This window comes from Homo sapiens, chromosome 5, assembly GCF_000001405.40.
Source record: "Homo sapiens chromosome 5, GRCh38.p14 Primary Assembly".
Taxonomy (NCBI): Eukaryota; Metazoa; Chordata; class Mammalia; order Primates; family Hominidae; genus Homo; species Homo sapiens.
Window position 1 is genome coordinate 166,582,535 of NC_000005.10, and position 19,001 is coordinate 166,601,535.

The following is a 19,001-nucleotide window of genomic DNA, read 5'->3' on the forward strand; positions in this document are numbered from 1 at the left end:
CACCAGTGGGACCTTGACAATGGCCAGTGTCTGGGCTCTTGAAAACATCTCAAGAAGGAATTCAAGGATGAGTCAGAAAATTGTGAAAGTATGGAGATTTACTGCAAAGAGAAAAGTATACAAGAAAAGCGAATGTGTGTATACTCAAAAGAATGAATCACATGATGGAGTTCGGAGCTGCTACCTTTATGGGTTTCTTTAATCAACCGGTGGAATATTCATGAATATAGGAGAAAGGTGATGATTTCTCAGAACTGTGGTACTACCCATTTTTACACCAAATATGGATGTTTCCAGAAGTGTTATGGTGGGTGTGTGATTTAGTAGTTAATGAGCCTATAATGAGGTCCTAAGTGACACTTAGGTGAAATCCAGTGCCATGTTGGGTCCAGTGGGTCTTAGCCAGCTTGGCCCACATCCTGGTTTTCTGGGTCTTATCAGCCCCTACCCTCTGCAACTGTTTCAATAGTTTCTTTTTGTTAGGCATGTGAAACTGCTGCCTGGTGTTATAATAACTTCATGAGAACTTAATGTATTACCACCATTCAACATTCAACACTTGCTCCTCCACCAAACCCCACTTCAGTAGCTCTGACCCCTTGAATCCCTGAGATTATATCTCACAGAGAGAAACCCATGTGACGCATAAAATCTTAGGATATTTCATTGGATACATGTTGTGCTTCCTCTGGTCCTACTAAAAAATATAATCTTTCTCTTAAATTTATATGTAAATTATTTTTCTAAAATTATTGTGTTTTCTCTGAACCCTTCCTTCAATTCAGGCTCTTCCAGAAAGCACCTTCATAACCCACTGTTTTAGTTTGTTAGGACTACCATAGCAAAGTGCCAAATAGTGGGTGGCTTACCACAGACATCTGTTGTTTTACAGTCTTGGAGGCTAGAAGTCTGAGACCAAGGTGTTAGAAATTACTGCGGGTTAGGATTTCACATATCACCTTGGGAAAGACAAGTTCAACCCATAGCATTACCTTCCAAAATAAGCATTCAAAACTATAATATTCTCATGGTCTGTGTCATGTTGATATACTGCACCACCAAAAGAGAAGTCTAGAACACAAAGGAAGAAGAATCGAGGCAGATTAAAATTTTTTTTCTACTCCTCAAGCTGGATATTCAGCAAAGTTTACCCTGATTCTAATCATTCCCTTTGTAATCACCCTCATTCACAAAGTGATTGTTATTGATATTAAGTATCAGGAAAGTGAGAAGAGATGGAAGTGAGCCCTCTCTCCCCTCTAGCCTACCCATTATAGCTGTCTCAATTATGAGCAGCCAACTCTTACTTAACAAAAGTATCTACGAAAAGGAGCTCCACCTACTTCTAGTGCCACAGTCTCTTCCATAAAGCAATGACAACAAGTAGGAAAGGTGAAGTAAAACAGATTTATAGATGTGAATGTTATTGGTTCATTGAACAAACGTGATTGGTAGGATATAACCATATAGCAACTTTAAGTCTCACTTTTGATTTAAATTTGCTCAATGGATTTACTTCTTCTCTTGCCCTTCTCTGAAAATGTAGTTAGCCACCACAGCTTCTCTGCTTATTCTTGGTTAATGAAAAACCCTATGGTCACTTTAAGTTAGTAAACACAGACTTCATTCAGAAATTGGAATGAACATCCTCTTACGGTAACACACATGCTAGATGTGACTAAAGTTAAAACTTCCCTTCCCTTTTCCAGAATGAGTATTTTATGGGAGGAAAAAATTATTATCTTACTGATAAATTTAAGAAGTAGTTTTGCTTTCCCTGGTTCTCCAGAAATTTAAATCTGTATTTTTCTCTTTTAAGGTGTTATTGCGAACTCTTTACAGAAACCCTTCAGAAACCCTCCTCTGCCCTACCACTGACCTCTCTCACCAGCAGATTCCTTGAAACTGGAAGTTCAGCCTGTCTTTTATAGTGTCTTCCTCAACCACTGGAATGAGTGTGTGATTCCTACAGCTTTTATTGATGAGCAACACTTCCCATTCTAAATGCCCCTTGTACAATCCTTTCGGACACCCATGCTGGTTCTCATACACATGGATCCCCTCTGATCTGTAGGACAAATCACATATTCTTTACTTCAATACACCAAGAGGGCAGGCTCTTCTACGATTAGTTAGCAACAGCCATTCCCATTTGTCAACCTTTAGATAACTCATGTGTAAGTCCAACCCCAATTCTCATAGTCCCTAAGCATAAGAGGCACATATCAAGATCCCTAAAACAGTCTCACTGAAGCGTCTCTTCATTAAGCTCAAAATGAGAGTCACTTCACCCCATCCCTCTCACTGGTGTGGGTGGGACTCATCAAAGACCAATCGCTCTCCAAAAAGCCAAGTCACAAATACACCTGGCATTTTCTGATCTTTTGAATGGATAAAGGCATTAAGTCTGGTCTCATAGATTCAAAAAAGTTTATTTTGGAAAATAAACATCTTTATTTAGCACCTCACTTGGGAATATGCTATTGATTTATAAGCTTTTTGGCTGAAATTTCCTTCTTCATATCCTGCTACACTCCTATACTATATACTGTAGAGACTGTACTAAAGGGACTGTATACTATTGAGACTACATCACTGGGAGAAGGAGATGCAAGAATAGTAGCCAAGCAATTCTTGAACTTGTAGGCTCAGCATTTTCTTTATCATCCACAACTTTCCCATGTTATTTCACGCTTTGTTGCTGACTCAAACGCCTTTCAAAGTCTACCCCATCCCTCCCATAAAATACAGGTCTCAAGATCCCCCATGAGATGCAGGTCACAAGAGCCCATGACTGTCTGCAACTGGTTACTACCAACATTTATTTGAACATTAATATGTCTTTTAGTATCAACAGCACAATGAGGGAGTCATTTCATAAAGGGCAATGAGGGGGTCTCTTCTTTTTTAGTTGAGACTTTTTTCACTCTGTCTTTGGCTGACTCTATTTTCATGATCACAAGAGGCTGGATTCTTTACACCTCTGCCTCATATATTTTCTGTCTTAATATGTCTTTTGATCAAGTCAAACAGTACCATCAGTTGGCAGTTGGCGTAATCTTCTCCACTTGCTACAGTAAAGGAGTGATTTTTCTATAGAGAATTTTAGAACCAACTAAAAGTTAATCAATTTGCATTGTATTATTACCATATGTCAACAATTCTAGACAATGCCGTCTGGATTGAATTGTGTCCCTGAAGAAGATACGTTGAGATTCTAATTCCCGGTACCTCGGAATGTGACATTTGGAAATAGGATTATTGCAGATGTAGTTAGTTAAGATGAAGTCATACAGAAGAAGGTTGGGCCCCTCATCCAATATATGTGTTGTTCTTAAAATAAAACAGCTATGTGAAGACACAGAGGCACAGGGAGAATACCATGTGAAGATGGAGGCAGAGATTGGAGCAATACATCTACAAGTCAACAGACGCTAAGTACTGCTGGCTGTTGCTAGAAGCTAGGAGAGAGGCATGAAACAGATTCTTCTTCAGAGCCCTCAGAAAGAATCAGCCCTACCAATAACACCTTAATTTCAGGTTTCTAGCCTCCAGAACTGTAAGACAATAAATATCTGTTGTTTTAAGCCACGCAGTTTGCCATACTTTGTTACAGCAGTCCTAGAAAACGAATACAAATGACAATGATAAAATACTCCTCCTTGTCACTTAAAATTGCAAATTTAGTTGCTACTGTAACAAAAAAGTTAGTAAATATTTATAAATTGTGCAGCTAAATATATTTTATTTCTGAACCTAATAAAGTTCCCTAATGCTTTCCCTTCTGATTGAAACTTCACATTGGGTTTGGATAGGAAGGCTAAAGATGGAAGAGAAATTTGACAAGCAGGAAACAGCAAGTGGACCATTGGAAAGTCATGCCTGTCATGTGCTAGTGATGTTTTAAAGAAGTAAATGAGCTGACGATACACAGCCTGGCATTTATATTATGATGTCCTGTCCCCACCAACCATAAGCATGGTAAGAATATCTTTAGCTTGTCTTCTCCAGTTTTTGCTCTGCCTTGTCATGCACTTCCGCATGTTAATTTCCATCCCCAGTTCCCCACTTCATAAACTCCTGGATAAAATCAGGTTCTGCTTTAACTTACTACCTTCATGTCTAAGAATCTATGAACAGTCAGTCTGGACCACCACAGAGTGATGCCAGCGGGACTCAAAATGTCACATGAAGTTTTCTGATGCCAGAGAGAATAATTTCCCACATGAGTTACTGCAGTTTATAAATGACCAGTTTGCAAAATAAAACAAACAGAACAATTTTAACAATGAAAAAGAACAAAATGTAAATTAAATTTTTTATTTTTCTGGGTTTTCTCTTTTATTCCAGTGGCCACTTTTGACCAGCGAACACCATTTGCCCCATAGTTTTCCCCATGTTCAAAATACCTAGAATGGATATTATGCATTCCCAACCTGTCAGCTTTGGCTGAATTACAGAGTGCTCAATTATGCTCTAATCAAATAGCTGCCCAATGCAGGCCACGTAATGACTTCCTGATTATCTGCCTTTAAATGATGAATGAAATGAATATGTAACATTCTGTTCAAATATAGCATACTTAGCATGCCAAATGAAAACTGATTTTGTGCTCCTCTCTGTGAAAAACGTATATTTTACTGTAATTCAGTTCAATGGTTGTTCGGTTGCTTGTTTTCTAGTCATCAAGATAAACATTGAATGAGCTATCTAGGAGAACATTAGTCTTCATATTTGCTTTCCAACAGATGCTAAAGGTGTTAAATATTGTTTAGATTATTAGCGTTCCTCCCTTTACATTGTCTCATTGGAAAAAAATAACAAGGTCATATTTTTATGAGCAATTCTTATTGGCAATATTCCACTACATTGGTGAAAAAAACCCTAAAATCCAAAAAAAAAGAAAAAAAAAGTACACAAATTGCCATGATAATGTATTGCAAAGACAACATTAAAATATAAATAATGTATTGTCAAGAGTGCTTTTTATATAGCAGCAATTTATGATATTAACACTAAAAAAGGGTACATACTTCAAAACTTGATTGTATGTCTTGTCTATAATAAGAATAGTATGCATGACTATAATAGTTCATTCTATGAGCTTTTCTTCCAAATTTTACTCTCAATATACTAATTTTCAAAAACCAACTCAAGAACTTGTATGGGGGAATTCATTGCATGTAATATTTACTTTTAAGAAACAAATGTTCCCTCTTGAAAGAGGGACAGGACAGTCAAACAAGTAAGAAGAGGGAAGGAAAAAAGAACTGTGGAAGGAAAGGAAAAAGGAAGGGAAGCAGAGAGGAAGGGAGGAATTAAAGGAAGGAAGGAAGAAAAGGAAGGGAGGAATTTTTTTATCCTTTCTAGCTAATATATTTTTAATATTGCAAAATTAAATTAATTGGTGCAGAAGCAGTGGTCTTAGAAAAGGTTTTCAGGCCGGGTGCAGTGGCTCAAGCCTGTAATTCCAGCACTTTGGGAGGCCGAGGTGGGCGGATCAGCTGAGCACAGGAGTTCAAGACCAGCCTGGCCAACATGGTGAAACCCCGTCTCTAGTCTCTACTAAAAATACAGAGAAAATTACCCAGGCGTGGTGGCACATGCTTGTAATCCCAGCTACTAGGGAGGCTGAGGCAGGAGAATCGCTTGAACCCAGGAGGTGGAGGCTGCAGTGAGTCAAGGTTATGCCACTGCACTCCGGCCTGGGTGACAGAATGAGACCCTGTCTCAAAAAAAAAAAAAAAAAGTTTTCAATAATACGTATCCTGGATCAGCTTTCAATGAAAGGATGTCTGAGATGAACAAGAGCGCCTCATCTAACATCTTTTGAAATTTTTCCTTAATTGTCCCTTTATGGGAAAAATTCTTAATTAAAACAGAAAAATATTAAGAATTTTTACATATATTTATTTCAAGATATTAATTGATTTAGCACTCTCCTCAGAATATATTTATTTCCCCTTTCTCTTTATCCTCCCTTTTCCTTATTCCTCCCTTCTCTCTCCTCCTTCCCTTTTTCTCTATCCTTCTTCCCCCCATCTCCTTTTCTTCTTCTTTCTTTCTTTTTTTTTTTTTTTTTTTTTTTTTTGAGACAGAGTGTTGCTCTGTCACCCAGGCTGGAGTGTAGTGGTGCAATCTCAGCCCACTGCACCCTTCGCCTCCCAGGTTCGAGCGATTCTCCTGCCTCAGCCTCTCAAGTAATTGGGATTACAGGCGCCCACCACCATGCTTGGCTAATTTTTGTATTTTTAGTAGAGACTAGAATGTCTCTACTAAACATGGGGTTTCGCCATGTTGGACAGGCTGGTCTCGAACTCCTGACCTCAGGTGATCCACCCGCCTCGGCCTCCCAAATTTCTGGGATTACAGGTGTGAGTTACTGCACTGGGCCTCTTCTTCTTCTTTCTTTTCCTCTTCTTCTTACCCCAACTTCTCCAGGTCCTCCTCTTCTTTCCTTCTCCTCTTACTCCTCCTCCTCTTCTTTTTCATATCTTCTGTTCATTTTTCTTCTTTTTCCTATGTGTTCTCTTGTATTTTTAGCTATAAAAAATGAACTAGCAGCCCCATGGATAAAGCCAGCACACCCATACATACACATACACTCACACGCACTTGGATGCACAGTCACTGAGCTTGAATTAAAATCTTCTGAGTATGAAGCTTTAGTGTATTTTTAAGTCATTTGTAAAAAAAAAAATTGTTAAATGCACCCCTTCTGAGAATTTGCAATTGCAACACCAAAACCTTTTAAATAATTGGTGGGTTGGATTAAAAATTTTATTATTAAAAAACAATCTTATGTTTTTCTTTTATTTGGAGATATATATGTATCTGTGTGTGTTTATAATATATATGCAAAAAATACATATTTGTAAAGTATCTTTATCATAGCTCTAGCAAACACAAAACCCAAAACTGGAATTAAAATAATCTTGTAACTAGGCACTTAAAATGCTGTATTATAGTTGTATAATATTGTATTATGGAAACACAATTTTCAGTAACAACTGTGTCCAGTTGGATTTTTTCATTAGAAAATATACTGCATTTCATTGATTAAAAAGTGTATGTATTTTATCATTTCTAAAATTTTTAGAAGTGTACCTTATGTTTGATGGGTGGCATGTGATAGTCAAATTGCCAGTATTTATTCTTCCTTAGTAATATGCACATCTTTCATTTAATAGAATATAGCACTAATCATGCCAATAATATATTTAATGAGAATAAACCAGTTTGTACAATTATATAAATATTCATAACATCTTTTAAATTTATATATTTTTTAAAAGTACACTCTGTACCTCTCATTCTGAAAGGTTTTATAATGTTTAAAATATATTGAACATTAGTAAATGCATATAATGCATAAATAAATATTTATAGGAAGAATATGTATCACAAAAAGTTTTATGGATAGGACCATAGCTCCAGCCACTATACCCCATTGTTTAATACTATTTCCCTTGCACAAATCTAGTTAATCAAGAGAAAGCAAGGAAAGGAAAATACCTGGAGATAGGAATCTATGTCCCTTATGTGGGCTGGGCCTAATTTTGTGGAAGACATCTTTTAAGATAACAGCAATGGTCCCTTCTTAAGATGGTTGTAGCCACATGGGTTTTTATTTTATTATTATTCAAATTATATGTATATATTTTGTATACTTTTTATGTGCAATATATTAAAATACTTACCAATAGGTACATATTTAACAATATATTCTCAAAAACTCTTTCTTAAATATGGCATAACATTTAAGGCACAATTATTTTGATATTATTTCTCTGTTTTGCTTATTGTTAATAGTGCCAAGCACAGTTCTATGGTGCTAGAGATAAAAGAGTGGAAAACCCCGAACTCTCTTGTCTAAGAGCTTACATTCTATTGCAAGAGGCAAACAATGAAGAAGTAAACAAGTTATTTCTATAATTGATAAAGGCTATGAAGAAAATAGAATCAGGGTAATGTGATAGAGTTGGCTGGGGTTTGGGTTTCCATATAAGTTAGGGTGATTGTAGAAGGCCTAAGGCTACAGTGATTTCTAAAGTGACACTGATTGGTTCTCCAAAATATATCCCAAATCTGTCCTCTCCTGTTCCTCTCCCAAGTAAGATAATGTTGTGTTTGAGAGCGCAAAGGCAGCCTGTTGACTGACATCCCTGCTACCAAAATACCTACACCAACAGTCCCTCTTTCTCCACCCAGATCCTTTGAGTCAGGAGACTTCAGGTTTCATGGGACTTCCTCCCTTATTTTCCTCATATCCATCTGCCTTCTCAGCTGTGGTTGGTGAAGTTTAGGTGTAACATGTGCTACTAACCCAAGTGCATTCTGATTACATAGAACAACAGAAAATTACATCTTCTACTCAAGGAGCTGGGAGCTTCAATTCTGAGATCCACTGCCTTCAAAGGCAAATCTCCATGACCCTTTAAAAGGCTGCTGGGTTATTGAATTTAGACTTTGGCTTTTGAATGTTTTGATACAATAATTACCTATGTTCTAAGAATGGGAATGGGGTAATCTTATATTTGCTCTGACATTTTGGCTTTAGATATGTTCGTTGTTTTCTGAAGTGATTGCTAATGAAAAATATAGATACCTAATCTTTAATCAACAAGCTTCCCTTGACATCCTGCTTCCTGATGTGAGGCACTGCAGTAAATGGTGATGGGTTTCCTCCAACCTATTACTGGAAGGAGACGGCAAGTTGAAATTGCTCAGCAATAATAATTCCTATTTCAAACCATGTCCTTTTTATTCTTTCATAAATTTCTCAGTGTTCCAGGCCTTTATGTATAGAAAACAGACTTTGTGTCTATAAGGTTGTCTTTTGAGTAGACAAATCATCATATTTTGTTTAACAAAGCTAAATGGAAGGCAAAAAAAAAAAAAATGAAGGAAAAGCATTTGTAAGCAGTATCTAGCTGTGCACTTACAGCTGAAATCTGAAGCTCCTCTAATACAAAAGTATTACCTGCAGGCTAAGATATCTATGTTGTACAACTGCGAACAGCAGTTGGGGTCTTTGTTTCTATTTGTCGACTCACAAACTCCTGTTGGTTCCAACAAAGACAGTTGTCTAGCTCAGGTATCTTAACTCCTAGGTCTGTTTCCCAGCTCTGTCCCTGAAACCCAGACTGGCCATGGGCAGGAGTGGGCAGTTTGGCTTTATGAGTGTGACAGCTCCTCCTGCCACGCTAAGCTTCTTAGCATTTCATTTGTATTATTATGAAAATCCATGGCCTCCAATTTCCTCTCCCCTGGCCCTTTGTACCTAACGCCCTGATGATGTACCCTTTTTTTGGCAATGGAGTCTTGCTCTGTCGCTCATGCTGGAGTGCAGTGGTGCGATCTGGGCTCACTGCAACCTCCACCTCCCAGGTTCAAGCAATTCTCCTGCCTCAGCCTCCTGAGTAGCTGGGACTACAAGTGCATGCCACTACCCCAGGCTAATTTTTCGTATTTTAGTAGAGACGGGGTTTCACCGTGTTGGTCAGGCTGGTCCCGAACTCCTGAGCTCAGGCAATCCGCCCACCTCGGCCTTCCAAAGTGCTGGGATTACAGGCGTGAGCCACTGTGCCCAGCAATGTGCCCTTTTCCTAAGTATTAACGGATTCACTCGGACTTTCAAAGCCCAAAATCTAGTCATGCCTTTTGAGGGAGATTGGTGACGATGCTTATGGACTTCTCTTTTACTGCTTCTTTCCACATTGATGGAATAGTGAAAAAGATAACAAATAAATTAATCCAAAGAAAATATTTTAAATTTTTTTATTTATATTAAAATAACATTCAGTAAATAAATTTATAATTTACCATAATAATGGCCACTCTTCCTTGAGCTTCCTCAACTTTCTGCCTTGCAAGTTGCTTTATACATTCAATTTAATGCACTGTTATGATTATGCTATGTATGAATGTATGTGTGTGTGTGTGTGTAAGTATTATTCTGATGACATAGTACATTATGATTTAAAGCATTATATTATGTTGATGAAAATATACAGACAGTAATGTATACATAAAATAATTTAATGCATCTTGTTATCATCCGCATTTTCTTCTTGGTAAAATAGGAAAAACTGCTATCTCCCAGAGCTGTAATCATAATACTTGTTCAAAGTGCCTGGCATATAGGTACAGTTCTACCTCAATAGAGCTATTATTGCTATGATTTTGCTCTTGTGGTTCTATCATTCTTAATTCATAGTTGAGGAAACTAAGTTTCATGGAAATTAACTTGCTTCAAAAGTTCACATGTAGGACAGGGCTCAGATTTGATTTCAGAACTGAAATCCTAGTTTACATGTCCTTTTTCTTTCCACTTTATATCTCGGCATTTTGATTGTTTTGTTTCACTAAGGCATGTGCCTTGCTGATTGCATTCCTTGCCTTAAAAATGCTGTGTTTTTATTTATTTTTCTTTCACTTGTTTCTTTCCTTGTTTCCTTGTTTCACTTGTTTCTTTCCTAGCACAATATTTCATATTTCCCAATGACTGCACCACTCACCAGGTCACCTCCTGGGTGTGTGAAGTGGGGATAAGGTTAGGAAATAACCTAGGAAGCTTCTCCTTTACCTCACCTTACCTGATTTCTTACCTCCTATCCCTATCTGAGGATTTTGCATTTATTTTCTCTTACATTTACCAAAATGCATGTTCATATTTAAGTTGCAACTGTAGAAAACATACAGTCTTATAGTTCTATCAAACATGGGGAAAAAAAATTTAAATTTTTGTTGTTTTCATGGTTATCAATAAAACTGCAATGAGATATGATTACCACAAATGCCAGAGGACTCAGGGCTAGGACTAGAATGAAGTAAATGAGGTGCCTCTGGGGCAAAAGGTAAGGAGGCCCTTTCTCTCAGCTTCATGAACATGGAGGGTCCACACCTCTGAGTGAGTGTCTCCTTAAATTTGGAACCAATGGAGCTTCACTTGCCTCTGGCCCAGGCACTGAAAGAATTCTCCAGGTTTTTTTTTTTTTTTTTTTTTTTTACTAGAATCAAAGGTTTGTTCCATTACTCCTGGATTCAGAAGAAGGACACTTCATTATTTTGGCTTTTCATAATTATGGGATTAACTGGTGGCCTTCCTGGAATTTGCTATGGTATGAGAACAGGTTTAAAATCAGGCAACACTCTAGTAAAGGCCAGGTGTTCAAAGTATCATGAACAGCTCTCTAAAGATTGGAAAATGAATATTTAACTAGATGACTACATTTGATTTCCTTCATTCATTTTTTATTATTTCAGTGAAAACCTTCATGATGGAAATCACATGGACAGGATTTTAATATCTTCTGGTAAATGAAACCTGCTATTCTAATGGGTTTAGTATTTCTTTACAGCGCCATTTGGTAAACTCTGATGACCAGTAATTTTCTCCATAGTTACAACTTAGGGAATTCTGTGCAGATTGTACATCATGGATACCAAATTTGTCTTACAGGGTTGATAATTACGATGAAACTAGTTATATTAATTAGGTCCTGTTTACAAAGAGTCTGATGATTTTTTTTAAGAAGGAGAAAAAATAGGCTCATCTGCAGAAGCTTTAAGTGCTTAATTATTGTTATTTTCTTTTCAGAAGCAAAGGGAACTATCATGCCCATCAAAACAAAGTTCTGCAGAGGGTTTTAGCTTCCTGTTTGAAAAGCTAGGCCCAAGAAGCAAAGCTCTTTACAGCTAATAGTCATTAAAAATTAGCAGTTAGTACAGTTATCTTGGAAATAGAGGCCAAAATATCTGCTTTTCCATTTCCACTGTGTTTCTCTTGTGATTGTAGTTCCGGAAACTCTGATGCAGGTAGAGTGAGAAATATTTTAGAGCTCCAACATCAGATTTTGCTAAATAGGTATTTTCCAATTATCACAATTGACAGTTTTCATCTGATTGCTTGTCAGAACTCAGACGAAAGTCCCAAAGCAATTCAGGAACGTGATAAAATCATCAGGTGTCTCTACACTTGTGTATAGTCCTAAATATTTGTCTTGTCACCTTGTTTCTCAAGTTGATGCTTAGAGAAGGCCTAAATGTAATTTTCTTGTGGTTATTGGGTTTAACTTGTGCTACCAGCATTAAAAGAAATTCACAAGTGTGTTATGGTGGCATGTTGTAAATTCTCTTAAGATTCTCATGTAAGATTGAACCCAACAGAAAGACTTACTCATGAGATAGTTGACTCAGAGTAAGGTGTCCTGTTTTGCAGCTTTCACAATGTTTGCCCTTTGCATTTCTTTTCAGTGAATTGAATTAAGTCCAAACCTAAGACAAATAATGACTTCTGATTATCTCTCTAAATGATGAAATGAAATGAAATGAAATGAATACAGCCACTCAACAGAGAGACAGACAAATAGCTTGTGTGACCTTTGGGAAGAAGGCAAAACTATTAAAAGCAGAAGTTGTTTTTTTAAAAAACTGTTTTCTCTTCACTTCCCTATCATGTTTCTTAATGGTTATAGTGACAGGCGTTGCATTTCAGAATTTGCTCGAATTCTCATGGAAGCAGCAACTGAAACAGAAGAAAAACTGGCTCTATCGGGTTAATCTAGGATTTCCAAACTGGGTTTAGATCAAAAAAGAAATCCAAGGTTTTCCAGTGAATGGGGATCTTGGTTTTATTCATATAAAGCCCTTCTATCACCCACTCCAGCATGTTGCTTCTGAAATGCAGAAACCTGTCACTTCTGAGATAAACCCACTAATCCACCTATGTCCTTGGCATTCTCTGTGTTCGGTGGGTAGATCTTTGTGGTGTGGATATTTCCTATCACTTATTCTCAGTGCTACCTTTGTGTCATAAGCTGATAGCTTTAGCTGGTGCTTTTCCTCTCTTCTAGATTCAACAAAGACATCCAGACGGCTCTGCATGGTGTTTAGAGAGCAGCCCCCTGTTGAAGCTCTTCTGTAGGTAATCCCCAGGAATGACAGCACGTGTGTCATAAAACTAAAGAGTCAGTACTGTGTTCACCCAATCAAAGTATTTGAATTCTTGTTTCTAAGTGAATATGCAAATCGGCAGTAGCTTCATTTGTTATTTTACTTGTTCTTAGTCAGAATCGTAACCTTTCTTGCTACTCACATACATGGGGAAAAAATGCATGTATTTATCAAAATACAAACAGCTGCTTCTCTCTCCTCCCAGGCTAAGTTAGTTACCCGGGTCCCTCATTAGACTCTCAACTTACCACTTACCATAATTCTCCTTACTCATCAGTTTCATCTCTAGTCCAGGAGCTTGCTGATAAGAAAGTGTCTTGTTCTCGTATTCATTTTTTTAACCCCCCATTGTCTGATATACAGCTGCTTAAGGAAAGTTACTTAAATGACTGAATAAACAAATGATAACAGAAAACATTTTAAAAAATTATGTCAATATCCATGAACAGACATAGATATAAAATCTACCATCTATGACTCTGTCAAGTTTCAATATTGTGTGTTCACAATTTTTACTAGTGTGATCTTTTTCTTTGATTTTCAATCTAAGCCATCATCATGACTTGGCTACGCTGTCAGATGAGCCCATGTCGAGGTCCCCTTTTGCTTCGTTGCATCTATTGCCCTGGATCAGGAAGGGCCATCGTGGAAGGAGCCCTGATGTGTTCTAATGAGGCTCTGTTTCAGAGCTGGTAGCTTTCACCCTGAGAGTTCTTCCTGTCACCCAGCGTGTTTCAGCCTAAGTGTTAGCCAGTTGGTGAATGAGATTTTGGAAAACTTCCAAGCCATAGTTAATTATGTGCTTTCCTGAAACTTGACTGTCCTTGCCATCTTCATGGATGCCTTCTCTCTATTTAGTAAGCAGTTTATTTTGCTTTTTTTTGGACATCTAACCTTATTTACAGTTTTCTTTTATAAAATAGAAACGTGCCATGGTACCGAGGCAAATTACACATTGCATTAGATTTGTTCAAGCTCCAAAAAGGCAGCAAGATAACATATGTACCAGCACTCTGAAACTCTAAAAACTCCTACAACTAATGTATTATTTTTTATTAGTATTTTCTTTTTAATAAATGTTTGAGAATGTCTAGCTTTTAAACCTGTAACATTAGACATTTCTGTGTTTTTTGGTGAGGATTTAATGAGATTTTCTATTTTGTTAACACAGAATAGGTTGCTTGTATGTATGTATGCTTTCTACACATTTATAGCTGTGTGTGTGTGTGTGTGTGTGTGTGTGTGTGTGTGTGTGTTTTCTTGGTGTTTCAGTTCTTTCCTTTCATTCTGGTTTTGCTTGTTCGTGCCTACAGAGGATAAACTTTATGATAAAGCTGATACTTCAACTTAAAAAATGACAAGTCTGTGGGATTTTAGGGGGGCAAGGTGGATGGGCAGGAAAAAGAACAAGCCGAGGAAAAATTAAATAGCTCCCAAAGAGCATTTTACTTTCTGAAATATAATCCCAAAGGAAACTGCTATAATGTAAAAGAGTTAGGATAAGAACTCTTGATGTTAGATACATATAAGCTATGGTCAGAGGAGGTAAGAAATTGATGAGTTGCAGATAATATCAGCTGCTGTGTTGGAAAAAATTTCAGGAGTGAATTCTGAAATGGAGTCCTCTGTTGGACATATACTTTAGCGGCCTCAATATTATTGATCTATTGAAGACAAAGAGGAAAACGTTCTGATCGGTATGCTAAGAAGAGTGTGTTTCCTGGGGAAGGCAGTCTCATGCTCCTGACTTTTCATTGCAATTGTGAAGCCCACCTAGGAAGACAGGTTTGAATTATTAAATAAACTGAGTTTTCTAGCCTTGAAGCAAAATTTTCAATATTCTGCAAATTTTACAACATCTTGTTTGTTAATACACATTTTCCCCTCCTGTTTAGAGACAGAAAGAAAAATAATTCATGTAGGAGTGAGAAAAGTCATCCATGATACTAACATTCAGTTGAATATATTAAGGTATAATGTGGGTTTTAGACAAGTCTTAAGAATTGGTTGCAGAATTTGAATGGTTGGCCTGCTATTTTATATTATGTCAATCCCAAAATAATCCACAGAGAAAATTAATGTTGTTGTTAATATTTTAAATCTTTTTGGCTAGATATGCTGGTATAATGATAATTAAGTTTTCAACTCATACATGGAGACTTTTCACTTAAAACATCCTGTTTTCTTGTTATGACATGAATTTAATCTATTTTAAATCCAGGAATAAAGTACAAAATATAGCATAGAGGAATAAGTGTTTTACTTTCTTGGAAGATACTCCAGCTATTAATAGTAGCTAAAGGTGAGGGTTGTGGAATAACACAGGCCTGAGATAAATCCTGACTTTTCTAACCAAATAATCTTGGCAAGCTATTTAACATCTTCAAATTATGGTCTCCCAACCTTTAAAATTGGAATAAAAATTGAATCCATCTGATGAGTTCGTTATAAAAATTGAACCAGAAAACATGTGGCAGTGTCTGAAATACTCTAAATATGTTGGATATTTACATTGTTCCAGGAGCTCTATGTAGGACAGAGTAAAAAAGATAAAAATTTGTTTGACTCAAATACTATGAAGCCTTGCTCAGTCAGTAAGATAGGTCTAAAATATAAACTTCCTTCTTTTTATGATGATAAGTCTGTAAACATATTTTGATCCCACTTTTCTTTGGGTTGGAAGTCAGGCCTGGCATCACATAAGTTCCAGGAGAGATAGAGGTGTGACGAGGTCTCCTTTCTGCTTTCACTGGAGTGCTCATTAGTGCCTGCTAATGAGAAAAGCTTAGGTCAGAAGCCAAAGAGAATATACCCTCAGTGTGGGAAATGGGAGAGGTCGAAAGGCCAAGGTGGGAAACCAGGGACCCAGGTCAAATCATGATGGTGGAAAACCCAGTGTCAAGAATTAGGTGGCCACAAGCAGAAGGTGCACCTTCACAGAGAAGAGAAATGAGCACAAATTGTCACAGCTGGAATGAATTAAAACACTGTTCCTTGACACCAATCAGAATATCATTAGAAGGGTTTCCTCTGGAGTTCAGGCAAAAAATTAATCTGAGGCATAAAAATGTTTTGATGCTAGATAATAGAAAAATATTGTTTTCAAAGCAGTATGCCTATATTACATGAAAATATTTGCCAAATGGAATGCAAACTAGAGGTAGGATCATGTTACAAATTGTAGTTGAAATTAAAAGATCCTGGTTTAAGATAGATAGGTATTCTTTGGTGTACTCATGAATGCTTATACGCCTTGCACAAACAAATCCCTCAGTTCATGTCTGGGTTTAATTCACTCACTCATTCTTCACTCGTTTATTCATTCATTATTTTATTCTGTTAGATAACATGGTCATGCTATGATCTTTTCCTGTGAACTGTTTTTATTTTCACCTTCGTAGGTTGACATATTTGTTCTGCTTTGTTTCTGTTTTTCCTTGTAGCCAAGACAGAGAAATAAGTTCCCTATTCACAAACCATTTGATCACTGATGTTGGGTATATCTTTGTGCTATCACGCTTGCCCTCTGAAATCCAGTTCTTCTCCACCCAACAGTCAGAAAGATAACTGTAAAACATGCACCCTGAGGTGCTTCCCGCTCTGCAGCCTAACACCTGCCATTCACTTTCCCATGGTCTCAGAAGAAAATCTAGACTATCTTCCTTGCCCTAGACATACATGCATGATTCTACTCATGCCTGGTCCTTGATCCCCATAGCCTACCCCTCTCCTGCTTGCTAACCACTCTCCGCACAGCATGAATGAGTCTCTGTCTCTGTCTCTTCCTGGAATATTCCAGCTCTTCCTCAACCTGACATGTCTGTGTCTGTCTGCTCTTCACCTGTGCTTCCCAAAGTGGACTTGTTTTCATCCTTCATTCGTATCTCAGCTCAGACATCTCATAATTAGGGAAGACTTTTTTGAGTAGTGTATGTTACTCTGTCATCACCCCATTTATTGCCTTTATAATAGCATCTATCACAACATATTATTTTTGTTTATTGATTTAATTACTTTATTATGGTCTCTTTTGATACCATTAGCTAGTAAACTCCATGAGATTAAAGATTTTTTCTGTTTGCATTGTGACTCTATCCCTACGAATCAGAAAAGAAAATGGTTGGGAGTTGGTAGGTGATCAATAATATTTTTTAACAAATGAGTGAATAAACCAGCAGTCTCGTTGCCTCATTACTGTCCTTGCTCATGATCTTCCTTCATGCTTTGTGTTATTCCGTGTTTATTGAGGACCTGTCACATGAAAGGAAGTTGGATGCTGGGGACATACAGATTAATACTCACTTGGATTCCTACCCTTTATGATGGGGTTAACACATGGGTAGCTGCTTGCCTTGGTCAATCTCTGGAATGCTAAGTAAACAAAGATTCTGGGGCTGTGTCTCAACTCATGAAAGGATGCCAGCAGCATAAAGAGGGAAGAGAAAATACTCACGTCAGATGTACCACACCTGCTTAACAATGAAACAAACACATTTGCAACATTTTTCTTGTAGAAAAAAGTGGCTTTTGGTTAGTTCCTCTTATGTGCCATGCCACCTTTAGCCATAGAACTTTCTTGCACACGTGAAACTGACTCTGTTCCCTCATCCCCTCATGCCATTTTCCCCTCGCAGTCCTCCAGAGGGTCCCTTCACCTAGTGGTCATCATTCTTGTCCCAAAGAGCTCTTCTTCAGGGATTCGTCCTCTGACCACCTCCCCACCCTCCTAAGACTAGCTAATTCTGTCCTACACTTTTCACGGCCCTCTGGACTTCCTCTTTAAAGGACTTAGTGATTGCGCATGTATCTGTGTTGTAAATCGATGAATGCCTGTCTCTCTAGGTGGACTGTAAACTCCATGAGGGCAAGTCTGTTTTTATTTTGCTCACTATGTTTAATACCAATGACATGGGATCACACCATGTGTTTCCCTTGAAGACTCCTTATTGACAGAATATTATACTCATCCTGAAGCACCAAATCTAATACATTTTTTAACATTGCCCTTAATGATTTTGACACATTCTTTCTGCTGTGGTTTTGTGCTTATAGCTAGATATTTTAATTTCATCAAGTAAACAATTTTTTAAATCTGTAATAATAAATGGTTATGAAACAGTGAGAAAAACACAGTGATAAATATATATTTGTACCACACAGCAACAGGTGTAATTGGTTTCGGCCCAGAAAGTTCCTACCTGTTGCTAAAAAGTGTTGGAAGTATCATTCAACTACTTTTGCTTATATTATTCACTATTAGTTCAATTTCTTTCACATCTTATATCATGGATATTAGCAATTAAAATTTTCCTTTCCAGAGAGAAAACACTGTATAAACAGATTTTTCCCCCTCATGCCAACTTATGTCTTCTCTCCCTCAAAATGTTTTAAGCATAAAAATTGCTTTTGTATCAATTGAGTGATTTGGTTTACTTATCAGCTGATTTTTCCCAGCTTTTTTTTTCCTAAAGTAGAATCCGAAAGCCCCTTCCCATTTTTTTTAATGTGAATACGTGAATATGAACAAGCTACTTACACTTTCAGAGCGAGCTACTTACATTTATAACCTTGAGGTTGCCTTTGATCCTAAATCAGCTTTTAATTACCATTGTAGTTATATTGGGTGAAAAAAATGATTCTGTTATTTCCAGAACACAGCAAGGATATGACCAATACTATCTCATGAGTACAGTTATTTTAAGGCTTTTATTACTAATTATAGTTGGTTTATTATAATTCATTGTTCACTGGCCTTTCTAGCTATTTACTTAAGGTTCTACTCAGCATTACAGCTGCAGAAGCAGCTGCTATTCCTCTGAGATTGTACAATTTCATGAAAGTAACAGGGCTCCTATTTGGAAGAGGGTGTTATTGGACTCAAGGGAGATGCTTCACTTGGTGTCCCCTGGAATGGGCTACAAGAGGGTGCATTATTCCCGACTCCAAGGAGAGGTTAAGCATGTAAAGAGGATGGTAGATGAACCCTTTAACCGTTATAAACAGATATGGAAGCAATGAAATAGTTCATTTATCTATCTATTATT